The sequence below is a fragment of the Homo sapiens genome, chromosome 8 (genome assembly GCF_000001405.40).
Source record: "Homo sapiens chromosome 8, GRCh38.p14 Primary Assembly".
NCBI classification, from domain to species: Eukaryota; Metazoa; Chordata; class Mammalia; order Primates; family Hominidae; genus Homo; species Homo sapiens.
In genome coordinates, this window is record NC_000008.11 from 125,080,500 (window position 1) to 125,100,053 (window position 19,554).

General features: G+C 41.8%; 2 protein-coding genes across 19 annotated transcripts in view, besides 2 other annotated features; one reads left to right on the forward strand and one right to left on the reverse strand.

Annotated features, from left to right (window-relative positions):
- WASHC5 (WASH complex subunit 5) overlaps positions 1 to 11,293 on the reverse strand; it is a 67,533-nt gene extending 56,240 nt beyond the window's left edge. For 2 of the 5 annotated variants that reach the window (XM_047422502.1, XM_047422503.1), the window contains exons 1-6: positions 11,116 to 11,293; positions 10,504 to 10,898; positions 3,214 to 3,523; positions 2,614 to 2,759; positions 1,884 to 1,968; positions 1,162 to 1,262 (exon numbers count right to left, since the gene is read on the reverse strand). In XM_047422502.1, the coding sequence (XP_047278458.1) occupies positions 1,162 to 1,262; positions 1,884 to 1,968; positions 2,614 to 2,759; positions 3,214 to 3,399 (518 nt within the window). In that variant the 5' untranslated portion in view covers positions 3,400 to 3,523; positions 10,504 to 10,898; positions 11,116 to 11,293. The remainder of the gene's footprint in view (positions 1 to 1,161; positions 1,263 to 1,883; positions 1,969 to 2,613; positions 2,760 to 3,213; positions 3,524 to 10,503; positions 10,899 to 11,115) is intronic. The other 3 variants (NM_014846.4, XM_011517409.2, NM_001330609.2) reach the window with 2 other exon arrangements.
- Positions 11,013 to 11,182: a silencer, noted in NCBI's record as "silent region_19517". NCBI's record gives its function as "represses an Ori minimal core promoter by ATAC-STARR-seq in GM12878 lymphoblastoid cells {active_cell/tissue: GM12878}" and the evidence as "EXISTENCE:reporter gene assay evidence [ECO:0000049][PMID:35858748]".
- Positions 11,233 to 11,452: an enhancer, noted in NCBI's record as "active region_27899". NCBI's record gives its function as "activates an Ori minimal core promoter by ATAC-STARR-seq in GM12878 lymphoblastoid cells {active_cell/tissue: GM12878}" and the evidence as "EXISTENCE:reporter gene assay evidence [ECO:0000049][PMID:35858748]".
- Positions 11,361 to 19,554, forward strand: part of NSMCE2 (NSE2 SUMO ligase component of SMC5/6 complex) — a 275,261-nt gene continuing 267,067 nt past the window's right edge. For 7 of the 14 annotated variants that reach the window (NR_146191.2, NR_146192.2, NM_001349486.2 and 4 more), the window contains exon 1: positions 11,361 to 11,459. The gene's annotated coding sequence lies outside the window, so the exon portion shown is untranslated. Of the gene's footprint in view, positions 11,460 to 13,968; positions 14,035 to 18,954; positions 19,059 to 19,554 lie in introns of all 14 variants that reach the window. The other 7 variants (XM_047421702.1, XM_011516974.3, XM_047421705.1 and 4 more) reach the window with 4 other exon arrangements.

Below are 19,554 nucleotides of genomic sequence, written 5' to 3' on the forward strand. Positions count from 1 at the left end.
CCGAAAAGTATAATGTCCCCAAAGAACCCCCTTCTCCTTGTCTACTTTGTCCTAATTTTTAAGTTTGAAAATGTTAATTCTACTCTTTACATCTTTAGCTCAAGCTCCTGACTCCTCCTTCTTGACAGTTTCTTCTCTGAATCTTGACTATCTCCGACATTGACCTGGTATTCCATTTTTAGCTCATTCAACCAATTGAAAATCTGTGCGTTAGACACTAAAATTAAAAAGTTGGTTAAGGTGGCTCCTGTTTTCAAGACCTTACTTCCTGAAGAATCACAGTTCTGTATAGATAAACACAACAAATGATTTGTGGATATGTGCTGTTGCTTGATTTGTTTTTGTTTCTATGTAAACATGGGAGAGAATTCACTTTCAACCTGACTCTGAATGACAACTTTTCAAAGTCATCAAACTGAAATGACAACAGAAAGCACACTTATTTCCTTATATCTGCCAAGGAGTAATATTTGAAAACTTAAACAACAAAAGCAAAAATAATCTTCATTAGATTTCTAAGATTCTTTGAAATTTAGCCTCAAGGTAAAGAAAGTTCACAATTCAGACTCCTTTTTAAAATTGGAGTTATCATTAGGGACAGCATAATCCATACTTCTAATAATCTATAATATATAGAATACTTGATATGTAATACATAGATTATATAATTTATAATCATTATGAAATATGTAATTGTTATATACCTACAATATGCTCACAAGACATAAGAATCTTACTTTTTTTTTTTTTTTTTTTGAGACATAGTCTCGCTCTGTCACCCAGGATGGAGTGTAGTGGCATGATCTTCGCTCACTGCAACCTTCGCCTCCCGAGTTCAGGCGATTCTCCTGCCTCAGCCTCCTGAGTACCTGGAATTACAGGCGCCCACCACCGTGCCTGGCTAATTTTTGTAGTTTTAGTAGAGACAGGGTTTCACCATGTTGGCCAGGCTGGTATCAAACTCCTGACCTCAGATGATCTGCCTGCCTTGGCCTCCCAAAAGTGTTGGGATTACAGGCGTTAGCCACTGTGCCCGGCTGAATCGTATACTTTCTTATCTATTCTTGGATTACTGCTGTTCACAGTATAAGGAATATGGGGACATACACTGCATTTTACCGACAGCAGCGTTTCGGAAGTGTAGTCCTAGCCCAGGAATACCTGTATCGGTAGTAAGAAACCAGCATCCTCTCTCTGACTTCTCCTTCAATCTTTTGGTCAATGACCAGTAGCATAACTCCATATAAGTACAGTGCTTCACACTAAGAAGAGAAGAGGACAAAAGCCAAAATCACTAGATTATACATTCTTAGGGAGTAAAGTCGGTAATCATGAAAAATATTGCTTTGCTCACACTTCTTCAAAAAGTTTTAGATTTCAAGGAAAAGGTAGGTTTCCTCCAAGGAGCTCTTACCTTCTTGCCGAATGGGCCTTGAAAAGTTTATGTAAAACAGATTTTAATTCATAGTGATAATTTTTCAGTTGACCTATTTTGGCTATGTTGCTTGGGACACCAAAATAGCAACCCAATATTGTGTATACCTCTTCATCATAAAATCATTCACTTATTCAATCAGCATTTCTTAAATGGTTAGTATGTACTAGGTATCAGGACAGATGGCTGGGATGCAAAAAGTAAAGAAGACAGAATTCTTACACCGAGGAGGCTCATAACTTCCACATAACTTTTAACTGTTTTAAATTCTGTTCAAAGTCTATGTTCTAAACTCAGATATGGACCTGCCAGTTAGAAGATAATTAAAAGCTCATTTCGCTTCTCTTTAAAGAATGGTATTTCGTATATATTTGTGACTTAAAAGAAAAAAAAGTGATACTATGTTTGATATTCTTGAATTTCATTTTAAATAATCATTATTACTTACTAGAAGTTGTTTTCCATCTTCATTGAGAAGCACAGTTTCTAAGGTTTGCTGAATATAAACCCCTTCATTGAGATCATCTAGATATCTAGAAATAAAACCACAGTGCAAGTTATTAATTTATAATAGAAACTTTAACATCTTTAAAGAAGGAAAGATTTTTAAAAGATAAGGCAGGATGCCAGGCATTCTGGCCTTCCACTAGTTCATGGTCCTTCATGCTCTTAAGAATACAGTCTTATAAACTGATTTAGGGCCACAGTTTGATATTTATCGCTGTTCCAAGTAAAAGAAATATTCCCTAGTCCTGATTTGTGAATTACAAGTATCTAGGAGTAAAGGCAGAAGAACATGGAATATCTAGTCTAAAAGTTAATGAGTAATGAATTCTTAAGAAGTGTATTAAGAGACAGAAAGTTAATGATAAAGATAAGTTCTTTTTCCCACTTTTCACATATAATACACTAGGATATGATAATAAATAACAGGATTGGAAACTATATGACTTAGTTAAACTAAGTTTATTACAACACCTCATAAGAGCAGGACATTATAGTAAAACTTCAAAATTCTTAAGATGACCAGTGCCACAGGTAGGAAAAGACAACTATATACAGTATAAACTAAATTAGGAAATTTTGTAGTAACTCAGAGAGATTTACACGTTGCTATGTGTCCTTTTCCCTCTCCACTATTTACTACCAGAATAAGCTATTCCTAAATAGATCAATACCTGTTTAAGTCTACAATATATTTATGTACACTTTGAAATGCTAAATAAAATCTGGTCACAATTTCTATGTTGTTTTCACGAAATTCTTCATCTAAATCCTGTAGCTCTGGCTTAGCATCCAGTTTGCTTTCCCATAATTCTGGACCCTGAGAAAAAAAAACACATGTGAAATGTCAATAAAAGCATACTTGTTGGTGACAATTTCTAAATAGTCTTTTAAAAATTTGTTCTTATGTTATTAGACATCCCAAACTTAAAGCAGAGCAACAGAAAGTAGTGAAGATAATAGAAGCCTAGATATAAAATCCCTTTGAGAGAAATGAATTTGAATTGGACCCAAGATTAGCATGCTTTTAAGTATGGGGCCCTTCAATGTGAAATATCAAAGTTATCTTTTAAAAATACAATTATATTGTGTTAGGGCTTTGACATAATACTTTCAACTTATTTTCAAGTTAGTAGCTAATATTAAGTTTAGTCGAAAAGCTCTTCTCTTTAGCTTTTTCCATAATTCCTTAACCTTACAGAGTTTCATGGTTCCCAGAGAAAACACGCTTTTGTAGAAAAGACAACAATAAAAATGCTATAGAGGAAGATTACCTTAAAATAGCTGAAATCAAATATGATATCTCCATATTTCTGTTGATCAGCTCTGTCTTTTAACCTGAACACAGCAGGAATAAACTCAGAGAGTCTCAAAAGTTCAGCAATGATGGCATTACCACAGGAAACAATCCTTAGGATTGCTTGGCCACAGAGGTTGTTCTCGGCTAGAAAGTCCAACATTGTGAGGCGGACCGACTACTCTGTGCCTGGACACTGGGGATGATTAACTGGCCTCAGAGCTGGTGTCTGTATATTATTAGATGAAACCAGGTGTGCAGAGAGATTGGCTCCTCCATTAAAGAACCTGTATCCCCAAAAAAAGTGTGAAAATCTCAATTTGTTTAAGGAAGCACATGTGTACACATAAGAAACACATTTTTCTCCCAAACTCACTAAAAAAATTTTAAGAAATAATGAGTTCCTTTATAGGGGAAAGGGTGTTTATCTGTCACTCTTCATATTTTCCATGTGGAGGGACTTTGCTAGATTAACACTCTTGGCCTCTTCTTCAACATGTTAGTCACTTCTCTTGAGAAAAAGATATGATACAGCTCATCTCTGTGCTAGGGAGAAGGAACCACTGGGCATGTGTGGTTCCAATGTACCCTGATTATACAAGCTATCTCCTACTATTTGATATATTAGCAAATAATTTCAAACGCTATAAAGAGAGCTCAGAGACAAATCCCTGTACATCATTTTGAGGCATTTGTCCAATTATTTCCCAGAAATGGAACTGCAAGCTTAAGGTAAGAACATGTCCAAGATTCCTTTTAAAATTACAGATGCTAGGTTCTGCAAAATTCTGTGAAGATGATTTATAAATACTAAATCAAACTGGTCCAAAAGTCTCATAAAATTCAGCACTTAGGTATCTAGCACTGTTAGCAGAATCCATTACTTGCTTCTCTTGTATTCCAATGCACTCTCTGAGGATGGTTAGATCACTTAGCATACTGAATATTATCGTTGCTTACAGCTCATTCTGAAAGTTCTTGAAGGCAAGGATTGATCTTTACCCAACCACTCCTTGCTGAATACCTCTTTGCCAGGCTGGATATGAAGATGTTTAAACATCTCACCTTCTAGTCCAGTGGTTCTCAAGCCTGGCTGCTTAAGGGAATCACCTAGCATCTTAGAGTTTCTGGTAAGTAGGTTAGAGGTAGTCCTAAGCATCTCTGTTTTTAAGAATCTCCCCGGATGATTCTGATGTGAAGCCAGGATCATTAAAAGAGTAGAGAATGACTGGTCTTATAGAAAACTGCAGCAGGCAAACAGGAAATTAACAATATTTATCTTTGTGCCCTTTGTGCTGAACTCATTCCTTGGCACTGACAAGTATAAGGAGTGCATAAATAATACTAGGGTTACAAGAGGTGATGTCTGTCCTCTCTAGCTGCCTGCTATACTGCTGGAGATGAGCCCTGAAGAAAAAAAATCAGAGAGATGAAGTGCTTCAGTGTGTCTTTACAATAAAGAAATAAGAAGTGTAACATACATTTAATTGTCAGTATGGAGCATTTATTAGGTGTTCTGTTGGGAAAGGTATTCTTATACTGGGTGATCTTTAGTAAAGTGACATCTAGGAATTCGGGGCTAGAGAAAGAAACCTAGCATCTAAAAAGAATGACCTATTTTAGTATGTAACACTTAAAAACTTTTCCATGGTAAATGACTTAGAAGATGGATTTGAAATCCAAAGGGCAGACACAGGGTTGATTTCTAAAACATGCAAAGGGATCTCACAAGCTGTCAAAGAGAGAACAGAGAGAGAAGCGGAGGCAGAAGCCAAGTAACAAGGAAAAGGGAAAAAAAGATGTCACTAGGAATGAAAACCAACCAACCAACAAAACATACATGTGATGTTTTCCTGTACACATAAGTCTTTGAGCATGTCACTACCCAGGTTGTGCCTTCTAAGCATCTTCTGTAACACAGAGACTCTCGATAAAACTGCTTCCTGACCCATCCCTTTCCTTCCCACTAGCTTCCTCCTACAGCCAGTGCAGATAGCAGGGGTGAGCAGATGGTAGAAGGCGAAGGGCAACTGGAGAAGGAAGCGAGAAAGACTTACACAAATGAAATAACTCCTCGGACTTGATGAGGTTTCAGAAAGTTCTTGAAGTAGGTAATTTGTCTCATTACGCTACTCCTTCTTACATTCCCCTCTGCCCACAGACTTGAGTACCCCTTCTTGTTCAGGCCTGTGTGCCTTCCCCTGCAACAATCATTTTTCTTAGTTCTAGGGGCTTGGAAAGCAATCTGATTATAATAATGTGGTAACTGGTTGCCAAAGATGGCTCCCAACAATTCCTTGCCATGAAGTCAGCCCATACAGCACCTTAAGTGAAGGGCTGAACCTTATTTTCCCTCTCAATGAGTCTGGATTGCATTTTATTAGTTTGCTGGGCTGCCGTAACAAAGCACCACAGAGAGGGTGACTTAAACAACCACATTTATTTTGTCACAATTCTGGAGGCGAGAACTTCAAGATCAAGGTGTTGGTAGGACTGTTTTCTTCTCAGGCTTCTCTCACTGGCTTGTAGCCAGCTATTTTCCTCCTGTGTCTTCGCATGGCCACCCCATTGCTCATTTCTTTGTATAGAGATGGGAGTCTCACTATGTAGCCCAGGGGAGTCTCAAACTCCTGGGCTCAAGCAATCCTCCCATCTCAGCCTCCCAAAGTGCTGAGATTACAGGCATGAGCTACCAAGCCTGGCCCTCCTTTGTAAATTTCTGTGTCCAAATTTCCTCTTCATACAAAGATACCAGTCATATTGGATTAGGGCCTATCCTAGTGGCTTCATTTTAACTTAACCACCGCCTTAAAAATCCTGTCTCCAAATATAGTCACATTCTGAGCTACTGAGTGTTAGGAATTCAACATATAAATTTTGGGGGGACCCAACTCAGCTCATAACAGCTTGTGCCTTCCTTCCTTCAACCCAAAGAATACTGTAGAATTAACTCTCTACCAATTCCAGGCCTAAGCCTTGAGAAGGCCTGGCAGTATCTCCTTTTGCTCTCTTTGGGTGTCCGAAGCTGCCATGTAAGATGTCTGGGTATCTTGCTAGAGAGATCACAGGAGTTACAAAGAGGAAAGACCATGCTGAGAGGGAAAAGTCCTGACACAGAAGAGAATGAAGAAAGCCAGCAGACAGCAGAAACTGAAGTGCCGACGTGTGACTTGGGTTGACCTGGTCCACTCAGCCCCCAGCTCTTTAAGTCTTCCTAGCTGAAGTGCTAGACATATAAGGGATGAGGCTATTCGGCTTCTGCAGCCAGCAAAGCCCTCTGTGCCTTTTCCCAATTCCTAATGCACAGGATCATGATAAATTTTTAACATATTGTATTGTTTTGGGCAAATAAGTCTTGGGGTAGTTTGCCATAGTGCTGAGATTCAGTTTTGAGGACTAACAGTACAAGTTGTCAATTTAAACAGCATGCTGATGCTGTTATTGTGATATTTCATTTTCTATAATGCTGTGCAATATAGTCATTGCTTTTGTATAATAATGTCCATGTAGCTATTTCTGTATTGTACTACTGCATTTTCCTCCAATCCCCATCTTTTCAGTTCTCTGCTTCCGCTGATTATTGCAATTTCCTTACAGGAATTGTGCCATTTGTCTTATCTTTGGAAAAAGAGAGCTATGTCCTAAAAACCACTAGAAGTCGGTGAGGGAACAACAAGTAGGTGAGGGAACAATCTTTAGAAATGTTTTTAGGCCTGGCAACGGTGGCTCACACCTGTAATCCTAGTACTTTAGAAGGCCAAGGTAGGAGGAATGCTTGAGCTCAAGAGTTCAAGACCAGTCTGGGCAACAATAGCGAGACCTTGTCTCTACTAAAAATCAAAAGAATATCAGTCAGGTATGGTGGTGCGAGCCTGTAGTCCCAGTGACAAGGGAGGCTGAGGTGGGAGGATTGCTTGAGCCCTGGAGGTTGAGGCTGCAGTGAGCCATGATCGTGCCACTGCACTCTTGCCTGGGTGACAATGAGACCCTCTCTCAAAAAAAAAAAAAAAAAAAAATTTTCTCACATGTCAAGTATAGGAGATTCTTGCTATTAAGAATAGTTCATATCTGAAAAATGCTAGAGTGATTACAAAATACAGAAAAATGTTTCATAAAAAGGAGAAGAAAAAGTTTTGATTACAAATGTATCTTGAAATTTGTGAAAATGAGCTTTATATATTAGGCTGTGATAAGTGCCGTGAAGAAAAAACATAATAAAGGATGGGGCATATGCTAGTTTCCATAGAGCACCTCGGGCAGAAGTCAGAAGGAAATGAGAGAGCAAGCAGTATGGATATCTGGGTATGGTCAGCAGCTTTCTAAAGTGGTCCCTAATGATCTCTGCCTCCTGGTATTCATGTTCTATGTAGGTTCCTTCCCTTGAGTATAAGCTGACTTACTGACTCCCTCCTAAAGAGGAGAATAGGGCCAGGTGTGGTGACTCACTCCTGTAATTCCAGCACTTTGAGAGGCTGAGGCACATGGATCACCTGAGGTTAGGAGAGCCGGGATCACCCCGGCTCTACTAAAAATACAAAAATTAGCCAGGCATGGTGGCAAAAACCTGTAATCCCAGCTACTCGGGAGGCTGAGGCAGGAGAATTGCTTAAACCCAGGAGGCGGAGGTTGCAGTGAACCGAGATTGCACCACTGCACTCCAGCCTGGGTGACAGAGTGAGACTTCATCTCAAAAAAAAAAAAGGGGGAGGGGGGGAAGGAAATAGGATAGAAACAAAAGATACAGTGCACTTCTGAGATTAGATTTCGAAAAGACTAACTTCTGGCTTGGGCACCCTCTGTAGCTTGCTAGTCCAGGGGAAGCAACATATCATGGTGTGAGAGAGCCCTGGGGAGAAGCCCATATGACAAGGAACTGAGGCTTGCCAAAAACCACCTGAGTGAACTTGAAAGTAGATCCCTTATAATCCCAGTCCAGCCTTCAGATAAGACCATAGCTCCTTGTTCCCAGCCTGACTGCAATGTTCTAAAAGCCCCAGAGCCAAAGGCAGCCAGCTATGCCCTACCCTCCGGACCATAGATGCTATAAAGCTTATTGTCTTAAGCCACTGGGTTCTGGCATAGTTTATTATGCAGCAATAGATAATGATCCTAATAATGGCATCCCAAGCAGAGGTTACAAGTAAGTGCAAAGGCCCCAGGGCAGGAATGTGCTAGATGGCTAGCAAGGTGGCTAAAGTGGCTGGAGCAGAGTCAGCTAGGGGCGGAAACAGAAGAAGTAGACTGGATTGGATCTGAGAGCCAAGAAGCCACTACAGCTGTCTAGAACTCCCATGAAGGTACCCTGTAATACACATTAAGGCATACATTATTAACAAGTTCTTTTAGTTTCCTCTGTGATACTTGCTTGTTAAACCACACTGATCTCTAACAGGCTGAATTTCAGATAATTTCATTTCATTTTCTGCATGGATATGGTCTGGCTTGGGAAAGCAGAGAGGGAAAGGGGAAATAATGGACAGTGGGCAAAACAGTCACATACTAAAGCCCTCTGAAGACCACCAAACTAACCCAGAAGGTCTAAGTAGGATGAAACTTTACACCAGGAGTGTCCAATCTTTTGGCTTCCCTGGGCAATATTGGAAGAAGAATTGTCTTGAGCCACACATAAAATACACTAACACCAAAAATAGCTGATGACCTTAAAAAAAATCGCAAAAAAATCTCATAATGTTTTAAGCAAGTTTACAAATTTGTATTGGGGCACATTCAAAGCCATTCTGGGCCGCATGTGGCCTGCAGGCCTCAGGCTACACAAGCTTGCTCTAGACTCATGAAGAGGAGGACAAGCTATGATTAACAGGTCCAATGGCTACCCGATTTGGGATACCATGACAGGGCAACAATGTGGCCCTGGGAAAAACAACTTAAAGCAAAGTAACATTACTTGCCCTTTACTCTACTCTCTCCCAACATACAGAAGGACAGACAGACTCAGCACCTGCATGCACACATTCGGGGAAGCTTCAGTCTGGGATAACGACAGAGATCAAGACTTTCGTGTGTCAATCTCTTGTTTTAATCCTTAGTCCCTTACTCAAGAATTACGCTGTAGACAACTTTAAAAGAACATGAGGAGGATAATAATAACCAAATATGTTCGGCAATAGTAAAACAAATATTATGGGTCTTTATTACCTAGGTAAATCACCTTTCTAAAATTCTATATATAAACTTTATATTAAATTTTTAATGCAAAAGCATATGAGTTATATTTAATATACTTTTACTGAAATGAACTCACTGCTTGTAATCTGTTTTGCCCCATGAAGGGCACTTGTGTTTTCTATTTCTAATAATGCAAGCATCTCCTGCTAAGTTTTTGAAGATGGAAGAAGTTAAAACAAGATTAGCTGAAAGAAGGAAATCACTTAGTTACATTTTATGTACTAGACCTCCTAACCCGGACTAGTTATATTTTCCATGTAACAAATGGAATTTCCATAATTTGTACAAATATAATTTGGCTAGAGTATTTGGTAAATAGCCCCCTCGTTGGCTGAAGGACTAGTCCTGAAGAACAGAATCTAAGAACCATCATTAAAAATGCCTAATCAAGTTGCAGCTAAGAGGTAGGTGGATGGCTTTACAAAGTGTTAAGACTCAGCTAAGTCTTAAAAAACCACTTTAGAATTAGGTCCAAATAAACACTGTAGAAGAAGCTATGTTAAATTATCCTTTCAGAGGTTCTCTTGGTGCTAGGGATCAAGAACACTTGAAGATCAGTTTTCTCAATACAGGCTATATTATTATTGGCATGAAATCCAGAGATCCCACTATATTTTCTTATTTTCTTTTACAAGTGCCGGTAACTTCATTTTTAATAATTTGGCGTGGAACTGTGATTTTCAGTTTGGGAAGTAATCCTAATCAAAAGACATGCTTTCAAGAATAAGGCATGACATCCTTACACCAATTACCCTGAGTACAGAATAATATTTCTTAAGGAAATCGAATTGTCGTGGACAAACAGTTTACCCTCTTCAGAGGACAAAAGAAGGCAGGTCTATTTTTAGCCTTTCGCAAAACCTCAGTTCCATAAAGGAAGCACTGGTCTCCACAAATCCATTATCACAAACAAAATATAACGGTTGCTGATCAAGATAAATGCAAGCTGCATATATTTTCCAGAAAAGTTCTGAAATGAGGCTGAACCTGAAATCCTGGGAAAGGCAGGTGAAGGACAATTAGAGAAGGTGTCCCTTGTAGTGCACAAAGACAGTAAAACTTCGCCCTCACTACGCCTCACCTATGTTTGAGGGAGCTCCATGCGCTTGCAATCAGGAGACCCAGTTTTATGGCTCTGTGACTTTTTTTCTTTCTCCTGTCCGATCATAATCCTGATTCCGATCCCAGGAATCAGGGCCCTGGGAACTTTTTTTTTTTCCCCCAAATGCAAAGGATTTTGACATCAGTATGTCACAGGTGAAGGCATTAAGGCGCGGCGAGCAGCAATGACTTGCCCAAACTCACAGCCCATGGCATAACTAGAATGCAAATCCACGTCTGTCAGCCTGTAAAAGTCCTCACTACTAGCCTTTCAGTTTTCTCAAAAGCAAAGAGAAATAACGACGACATCCATACAGCAGTGTTCCCGGAAACTTGGAAGGATGAGATTCGGACCAAGCAGCTGAACGGTGCTTCCTAAAGCGAGGAAGGGGTGTGCAAAATGATTTCCCCCTAAGCGGAGACGAAGAGCTGGATTACAGCCCCCGCCCCAGAAAGCCCCTAAGCCCTCCATCCCGAGTCCCCCATCCAGGCTGCACGCGACTCTGCAGACCTCCCCGTGGCCAGCGCGGCCCAGCGGGGAGGGGAAGGGGGCCATGCAAAAATGGGGCGCGCTCACTCCATCCCCACTCACCTGTCAGCCGGGCCGCGCCACGGCGCACGCGCAGGGCCGGAGGTCGCGCGCGGAGCCGGCACCCAGTTTCCACCCCTCCCTCAAGGCGGCGGTCCTCTTCTATCCGCAGTCCCGGACCTGGAGCGGGTCAGACCCCGACTTCCGCCCCTGACTCCCCAGGCGGTCACATGACCGAAGCGGCTGGGAGCAGGGAGGGGCATCATGTGACCACTCGCCGGCGACGGCTGATGACGCAAGAGCCCGCTCTCACTTTTCAGCGGCAGGCGAAGGGGGCTGAGGAAAGGAGGTGGGTCTAGGCAGGGGAAATTGGGGTGCCACCAGACGGAGACAGCTTGGACTACCAGGTAGGGAAGAAGCGGGGGACGGCAATGGGGAGGGTGGCAGGAGTTTCGCCACCCTCAGGGACACTCCACGGGGACTCCGAGCCGGGGGTCCGTCTACCCGGATTATGGTTGTGGAACTTTTCACGCCACGGTAGTGAGTCTGGGACAGTTTACCCTCCTGTCCGAGACGCCATCTCTCCATCCTTTCGCCTCAAGTGTGTAGGGGCAAGATTACGAATTTTTGATCCAAATAGATTTTGTTTGAACTGACTTTAAAAGTAAGGCCACGGGAAGGTCGTTTGAATAAACTCTCTGGACCTCAATTTCCTCTTCAGTTATGTAGATTGCAGTGAGAATTAGCGATAAGGAGAATAAAGTGCCGGGACACCAGTTTATGGCATTCTGTAGGTGACCGAGAAATGATGATGTCTGTTGTTATTTTTGTAACTGGCCAAATCTTTATTGGTCCCCTATTTTGTGTGAGGAATTGCTTTATATGCAATAGAATATGTCAGGGTTCTAGTTTAAGGAGGTGTCAGTTTAAAGAAGCTGCAGACATGTGAGCAAATAGTTGTGATGAGTTTCATAATAGGAGTGTGTTGTGTACATGTGCATGTGATAGGGATAATGGTAGCATGAGGGAGGGAAAAGCAATTGTATGAGAAGGATTCAGAGAGAAGGGATTATCCTTGCATGTTGAAAAAGGAGAGGCAGCTCTGGCTGACTTGTACAAGGCTCCCATGGATTTAAAGGAAGTCAACATATTGTCTATAAATAACATGCAGAGAAAAAACTCAGGAAATGCACAACTTGTTCTAAACTTTCTTGGAGATCATAGGTACCGGGAAGAAAAAGATCAGTGTTATTACCTGGGGAGGGATCCAAGAGAGATTGATTTAAACCAGTTATTCTCAACTGATGCACTATTGACATTTTAGGCCAGATAATTTTTTGCTGTGGGGTCAGGGTGAGGGCTGTCCTGTGTTTTGTAGGATGCTTAAGAGCATCCCTGGCCTCTGCCCGCTAGATGCCAACCACAAAGTCTACAGATACTGCTAAATGTCCCCTTGCGAGAGGGGTAAAATCCTTCTTGGTTGAGAACCACTTAAACCAAGCCATGAAAGATGGTATCTTAGTCAATGTGGGCTTCTGTAACGGAAATGCCATAAACTAGGTAGCTTATGAACAACAGAAATTTATTTCTCACAGTTCCGGGGCCTGTTTCCTGGTTCATAGGTGGCTTCTTGCTGTGTCCTCACATGGTGGAATGGCAAAGCAGCTATCTGGAGCATCTTTTAAAAGGGCACTAATCTTATTCATGAAAGTGGGCCTCATCACCTCCCAAGAGGCCCCACCTCCTAATACCATCACCTTGGAAGTTAGGATTTCAACATATACATTTTGGGTGACACAAACATTCAGACTTTAGCATATGGGTAAGATGTGGGCAGATAGAAAACTGAAGAGAGGCCCTGGCACAGTGGCTTATGCCTGTAATCCCAGCACTTTGGGAGGCCAAGGCGGGCGGATCACTTGAGGTCGGGTGTTTGAGACCAGCCTGGTCAACATAGCGAAACCCTCTCTCTACTAAAAATACAATAAATAAATAAATAAATAAATAAGTAAATAAATAACATAATTGGTGTGTCCTGGCACACACCTGTAATCCCAGCTACTCGGGAGGCTGAGGCAGGAGAATCCCTTGAACCCAGGAAGCAGAGGTTGAGGTGAGCCGAGATCATGCCACTGCACTCCAGTTTGGGCGACAGAGCGAAACTCTGTCTCAAAAAATAAATAAATAAATAGAAAGAAAACTGAAGAGAAGGTTTTCTCATGGTGGGAGCAGGATGAGGAAAAGTCCTCTTTTTCCTTTTTGGTGACAGCGTCTCACTCTTATCGTCCAGGCTAGAATGCAGTAGCATGATCATAGCTCACTGCAGCCTTGGACTCCTGGACCCAAGGAGTCCTCCCACCTCAGCCTTCCGAGGGTCTAGGACAATAGGTGCAAGCCACTATGTCTGTGTAAGTTTAAATTTTTTTTTTTTTTGTAGAGTTGGGGTCTTGCTGTGTTGCCCAGGCTGGTCTTAAACTCCTGGCCTCAAGCAATCTTCCTGCCTTGCCCTTTCAAAGTGCTGGGATTATAGGCATGAGCCACCACACCCAGCCTGAACAAAGTCTGGAGCTGAGATTAAGAATATTGGGTATGAAGGGGAGAAGGAAACAGGAGAGCTATGAATCTGACTGAAGCAGACAGTTAATTTATTCATTTATTGACTATTTTCAGAGCACTTGCTGTTTGTGAAGCACTGCTAACATCTTGCAAGATAGTCACTAACAAAGTGGAGTGACTATAATTATAATTATATCAAAGAAGGTGCTGTTAGAGTCAGAGAAAGGAGTTGTCTTTGACTTGTACTTAGCTGTATTTATTGGGAGAGATTGAGAAAAGTATGTCTGTTCCATCTTTCTGCACCATCCATTGCCTTTGCTTTTCAATTCAATCTCAGTCTTAATCTTTTCCCTACTCCAGAATTACAGAAGAGCATGATCGTGTTTTCCTTGGTCCTCTGCAAAAGTGAAGTTTCACTAAAGTAATGTGAGTTTTGCATTCAAACAAATAGTGACAGCTACTGTTTGGTAGATACTTTCCATTTATACTGGATTGCATTAATCTTCATAGATACTGTGTCTTTGTTCAAGCTACCATAACAAAATACCATAGACTGGGTGGCTTAAACAACAGAAATTTATTTCTTACAGTTCTGGAGGCCAGAAGTTCAAGGTGAGGTTGCCAGCATAGTTGGATTCTGGTGAGGACTTTCTTCTTGGCTTGTAGATGGCTGCCCTTTTTATGTGTCTTCACATGGTAGGGAGAGAGAGAGAGAGCAGTCCCTGGCGTCTCTTCCTTTTCTTTTCTTTTCTCTTTTTTTTGAGAAAAGAGGGTCTCGCTCTGTTGCCCAGGCTGGAGTGCAGTGGCGTGATCATGGCTTACTGCAACCTCAACCTCCCGGCTCAAGCGATCCTACCACATCTCCTCCTGAGGAGCTGGGGCTGCAGGCCCGCACCACCACATCCAGCTAATTTTTTATTTTCTGTAAAGACAGAGTCTCACTTTATTGCCTGGGCTGGTCTCGAACTCCTGGGCTCAAGCCAACCTCCCACATTGGCCTCCCAAAGTGCTGGGATTATAGGCATGAGCCACCTTTCCAGCCAGGTTTTAGATAATCAGTACACATGTGCCTAGTGCCTATCATATTGGACAGTGCAGATTATAGAACGTTTTCATCACAGAAAGTTCTATTGGACAATGCTGCTCTGGACAATTTAGACTTACACTAGAATCAAGACTGAGTAGAAAACAGAATACTTCTGCTGATCATGGTGTCTCATGCCTATAATCCCAGCACTTGAGAGGCCGAGTTGGGAGGATCACTTGAGCTCAGGAGTTTGAGACCAGCTTGGGCAACACAGGGAGATGGTCGTCTCTACTAAAAATTAAAAAAGAAAAATTGGCCAAGTGGTGGCGCGCGCCTGTGGTCCCAGCTACTTGAGAGGCTAATGTGGGAGAATCACATGAGCCTGGGAGGTTGAGGCTGTAGCGAGCATGATCATGTCACTGCACTCCAGCCTGGGTGACAGAACAAGACCCTGTCTCAAAAACAAAAAGAAAACCGAGGCCAGGGGCAGTGGCTCACGCCTGTAATCCTAGCACTTTGGGAGGCCGAGGCCGGTGGATCACTTGAGGTCAGGAGTTTGAGACCAGCCTGGCAAACATAGTGAAACCCCGTCTCTACTAAAAATACAAAAATTAGCCTGGCATGTAGCTCCCAGCTACTGGGGAGGCTGAGGCAAGAGAATTGCATGAACCTGGGAGGCGTAGGTTGCAGTGAGCCAAGGTAGTGCCACTGCACTCCAGCCTGAGGGACAAGAGCAAAACTCCATCTCAAAAAAAAAAAAAAAAAAAGAAAAGAAAATTGAATACTGGAATTATATCATTTGGTCCTTGCAGGTTTGTGTTTTTTGATTAATACTTAGTACTGTAACAGGTAAACCCCACAAGTCTAAATGGCTTTGCCCAGTTGAAGTTTCTTTCATGCATGGAGCCTGATAGGTGAGTAGTTTTCCTCCAAGCAGTGATGTAGGGCCTTGAGCTCCTTCCATGCAGTAATTCTCTATCATCAGCATATAGCTTTACTAAGGTCCCTATGCTTGCCTGCATCAAGCTATCAAATGGGAAAATGTGGCTTTTTGCAGATTAGGCCTGGAAATGGCTCACATTTCATTGCCTTGGGTACAGTCATAGGCCACAGCTAACTTCAAGGAAGGCTGGAAAATGTGGAGCATATATAGGCATGTAACCGGGTTGAAGAGGAAATGGTTTTGGTGGGCACCTGTCCAGTATCTGTCACAAGTGTTTTGTCCTTACCTGCCCTGAGAAATAGTCTCAAGAAACAGTCCTAGAAGTTTGCTATTGCATTTACTATAAGGATATTTTTGAGGATTATTTTTTTCAGTGTAACCCATTATCTCATATATGATGATCCATACTTGCCTTGATTGCCATGGAAAGCTTTATTTTTTTCTTGAGTTTCTAGTGTTATTTGTTTTTTTTTTTTGGAGAAAATAACTGTCACTTTTTGTTTTGATTGTGAGGAAGCTCACTACCAAATGTGTATTACTAGTACTGTGTGGAATCCTTTTTTTTTTTTTTTTTTTTTCATACGGAGTCTTTTTGTGATCTCAGCTCACTGCAACTGCTGCCTCCAGGATTCAAGCGATTCTTCTGCCTCAGCCTCCCGAGTAGCTGGGACTGCAGGTGTGTACCACCATGCCCAGCTAATTTTTGTATTTTCAGTAGGGATGGGGCTTCACCATGTTGGCTGGGCTGGTCTTGAACTCCTGACCTCGAGTGATCAACTGCCTCGGCCTCCCAAAGTGCTGGGATTACAGGCGGGAGCCACCACACCTGGCCCTCTGTGTAGAATCCTAAAGTGTGCGTGACTCCATTATAACTTTCTCATATGCTTGGTTTGCCCGTAAATTTCTGTTTTTTGATCCTGGTTTTTCTGAATTTATGTTTTTCCATCTTTTTGTGTATGTTTGTATTTATATTGTGTAAAATGTCTCAACTTGTTTGGTATAATACAGTGAGATTGTAAACAAGCAGTCTCTTTCAATGCAAATGTTTGAAGATCATCATTGGCTTTTATTCCTGTTTGTATTTTTTCTTTTTTGATGTGGAACTGTAAAGTCCCAGAAAAGAACACAACAAGAACCCTTGTTTCATCACCCAGATTTTAACATCTTTAACATTTTGCCATATTTGTTTCAGGTCTTGATTTTTAAGGTAAAGTTTTGAAAATACATAGAGCTCAAATTTCCATGATGACCACTAGACCCAACTGGAGTGAATCTTTATCCTGTACTTAAGGCTGTCTACACTATATTCCCAAAGAATGAAATCCAGTTATCTTCCCATTCCTTTGTACCTGTATGCCAGGCAAAGGGAACTCATCTCATCGTTTACTACCTTATGATCTTTTTTCATCTCACTGCTTCCTTCATCTGAACAGCTCTCCCTGATAATTTAGACCTTTCCAAATCCTGAGTACCTTTTATGGTCCAGCTTAAGTGCCTTCATTTCCGTGAAGCCTATGTCTCCCCTGTTGTGCCTATAATCCTTTCCTTTCTTGAACATTGTAGCATAGTGGGTTTGTGTAATCGGTTTCTTTTTTCAACTTCATAGTACTTGGTTCATTCTTTTAATATGGAACTTGTTCTCTGCCAAGCCTGTTTTGAGGGGTTGTGGCAGAAAGGAGTTATGTTTATTCTGGAATATCAAATAGTTAAGGTTATATGAAATGTATGATTTAAGTCTTGGTGAAAAGTAGAATCTCTGATTTGAAAAGCGTGTTTGCATTATATTGTAGAAAGCTTTGGATACTGTGCTAATTATGTTGAATTTTATTATATAGGCAGGAGGGAGTTAGGACCAACCCTTCCTGCTTTTTTCTGTCTTTATTACTGGCATCTCTGTCTTATTAGCAAGCTCAAAGACCTTAAGGTGAAGCATGCCTGGGTTATTAAAGGACTAGCAATGGCCAGATAATGTAGAACAGTGGTCTTCAAAGTGTAATTCTTGGATCAGCAAAATCTACATTACCTGGAAATTTGTTAGAAATGCAGATTCTTAGGTCCCTTCCCAGACATACTGAATTAGAAATTCTGAGGGTGAGGTCCAGCAATCAGTGTTTTAATGGGCCCATCAGATGATTCAATACACTGACACTACATGTCTCCTAGATATATCAGAGTTAGAATTACATAGAGGACTTGTTAAAACGTAGATTGTTGGGGCCTGAGAATTTGCATTTCTAACAAGTTCATAGGTGATGCTGGTGACACTTGGTCAGGAACCATTTGGAGAACCACTATTGTCAGTTATTACGAAGCTCTTTGGCCATTACTCCCGGTGAGTCAGGAAGTCCTTAGGAGTTTTTGAGCAGAGGAGTCACATGATCTTACGTACATTTTCAAAGGTTTACTCTGGCTGCTGTGTTGAGAATAGGGTGGAAGAGGCAAGACTGAGAGCAGGGAGACCAGGTAGGAGACTGTTGGAGTAATTCAGGCAAGAGATGATGGTTTGAATCACGGTGTTATCAGCAGAATTGGTGAGAGTGGTTGGATTCTGGAGATAGTTTGACTACAGAGCTGGCAAAATTGATGTTGAGTTTGGTATAGGATATGAGGGGAGGAGGAGAAGGATCAAGTATGAACCAAGAGTTTTGGTTCAACAAATGGAAGGATGGAGTTGCTATTTAGTAAGATGGGGCAGGTTGTAAAAGGAGTAGGTTTGGGGGAGGGGTAGGGTGGGAGAGAAGGAATGTGGGCCTTCCATGTTGGACGTTTTAAGTTCTGGAGTGATCTTGCCAATGGTATTTAGATGGAATGGGTCTAGTTGGGAACACTAGGTGGATGGGAGAGGATGGAAAAGAGAGATCAGAGCACTGAGCCCTGGGCATACCACCTATACTACAGTTTTGGAGACATGTGCTGTTTTAGGTGCTGGAGATACATAGTATTACATTCATTCCTTCTTTCAGCAAGCCTTTGTTGAATGGCCACTAATGTGCCATGCGTTGTTTTAGGTGCTTGGAATACAGCAGTGAACAAAACAGAAAAAGTCAAAAAGTCTGTAAGTTTAAGGAACTTACAGTGTAATTGGGGACTAGACACTATAAACCTAATAAATACAAGAATGTCGTTTGGCAATACCTGCCTTGAGGAAAGATAAAGCAGAAGCAGAAGGGTGGGAATGCCTGGGGGTGGAGATTGGGAGGGCTTGCCGTTGTATATCAGATGGCCAGGGAAGGCCTTACTGATGAGGTGATACTCAAAGGGAGACCTTAGAGAAGTAAGGGAATTGACCTAGTAGATATCTAGGGGACCAGTATCATGGCAGAGGGAACCAAGAAGGCATAGCCCTGAGGCAGGGCTGTATTTGATTTGGGTATAGAAGGAGAAGAAAAAGAAGCTTGGATTCTGAACCTGGGACCCTACAACATATGGAGCTCAAGGAGATGGAGAGGAAACAGAAAGGAGAATGAGAACAAGAACAAGGTAGGCAGGTGCAGAAAGTGCATCAGGAAGGGAGTGATTAACTGTGTTGCATACTGCTGGCTGATAGGTCAAAGGAGATAGGGCTGAGCATTGATAACAAATTTAACATTAAGTCTTTTCAGGTGACCTTGACAAGAGCAGTTGCAGTGGAGTGATAGAGATGGAACCCTAGTGGGGGTGGGTTCCAAAGGGAATGGAAGGAGAGGATTTGGAGACAAATGTATACAAATCTACAGACGAGTTTTGCTCTAAGGCTGAGTAGAGAAATGGGGCTGGTAACCAGAGGGGTAAGTGGGAGGAAAGTCGGAGGATGTTTTTGAGATGGGAGAAGTAATGGTGTATTTGTTTGCTGAAGGGAATGATTCAGTAGAGAGGGAAAATTTAATGATGCAGGAAAGCAGGGAGAATTGCTGGGAGAATGTCTTAGAGTAGGGAGGGAGGGATAGGATCTAGTGGATAATTGGAGTGGAGGTGGCCTTATCTAGGAGCAACAGTT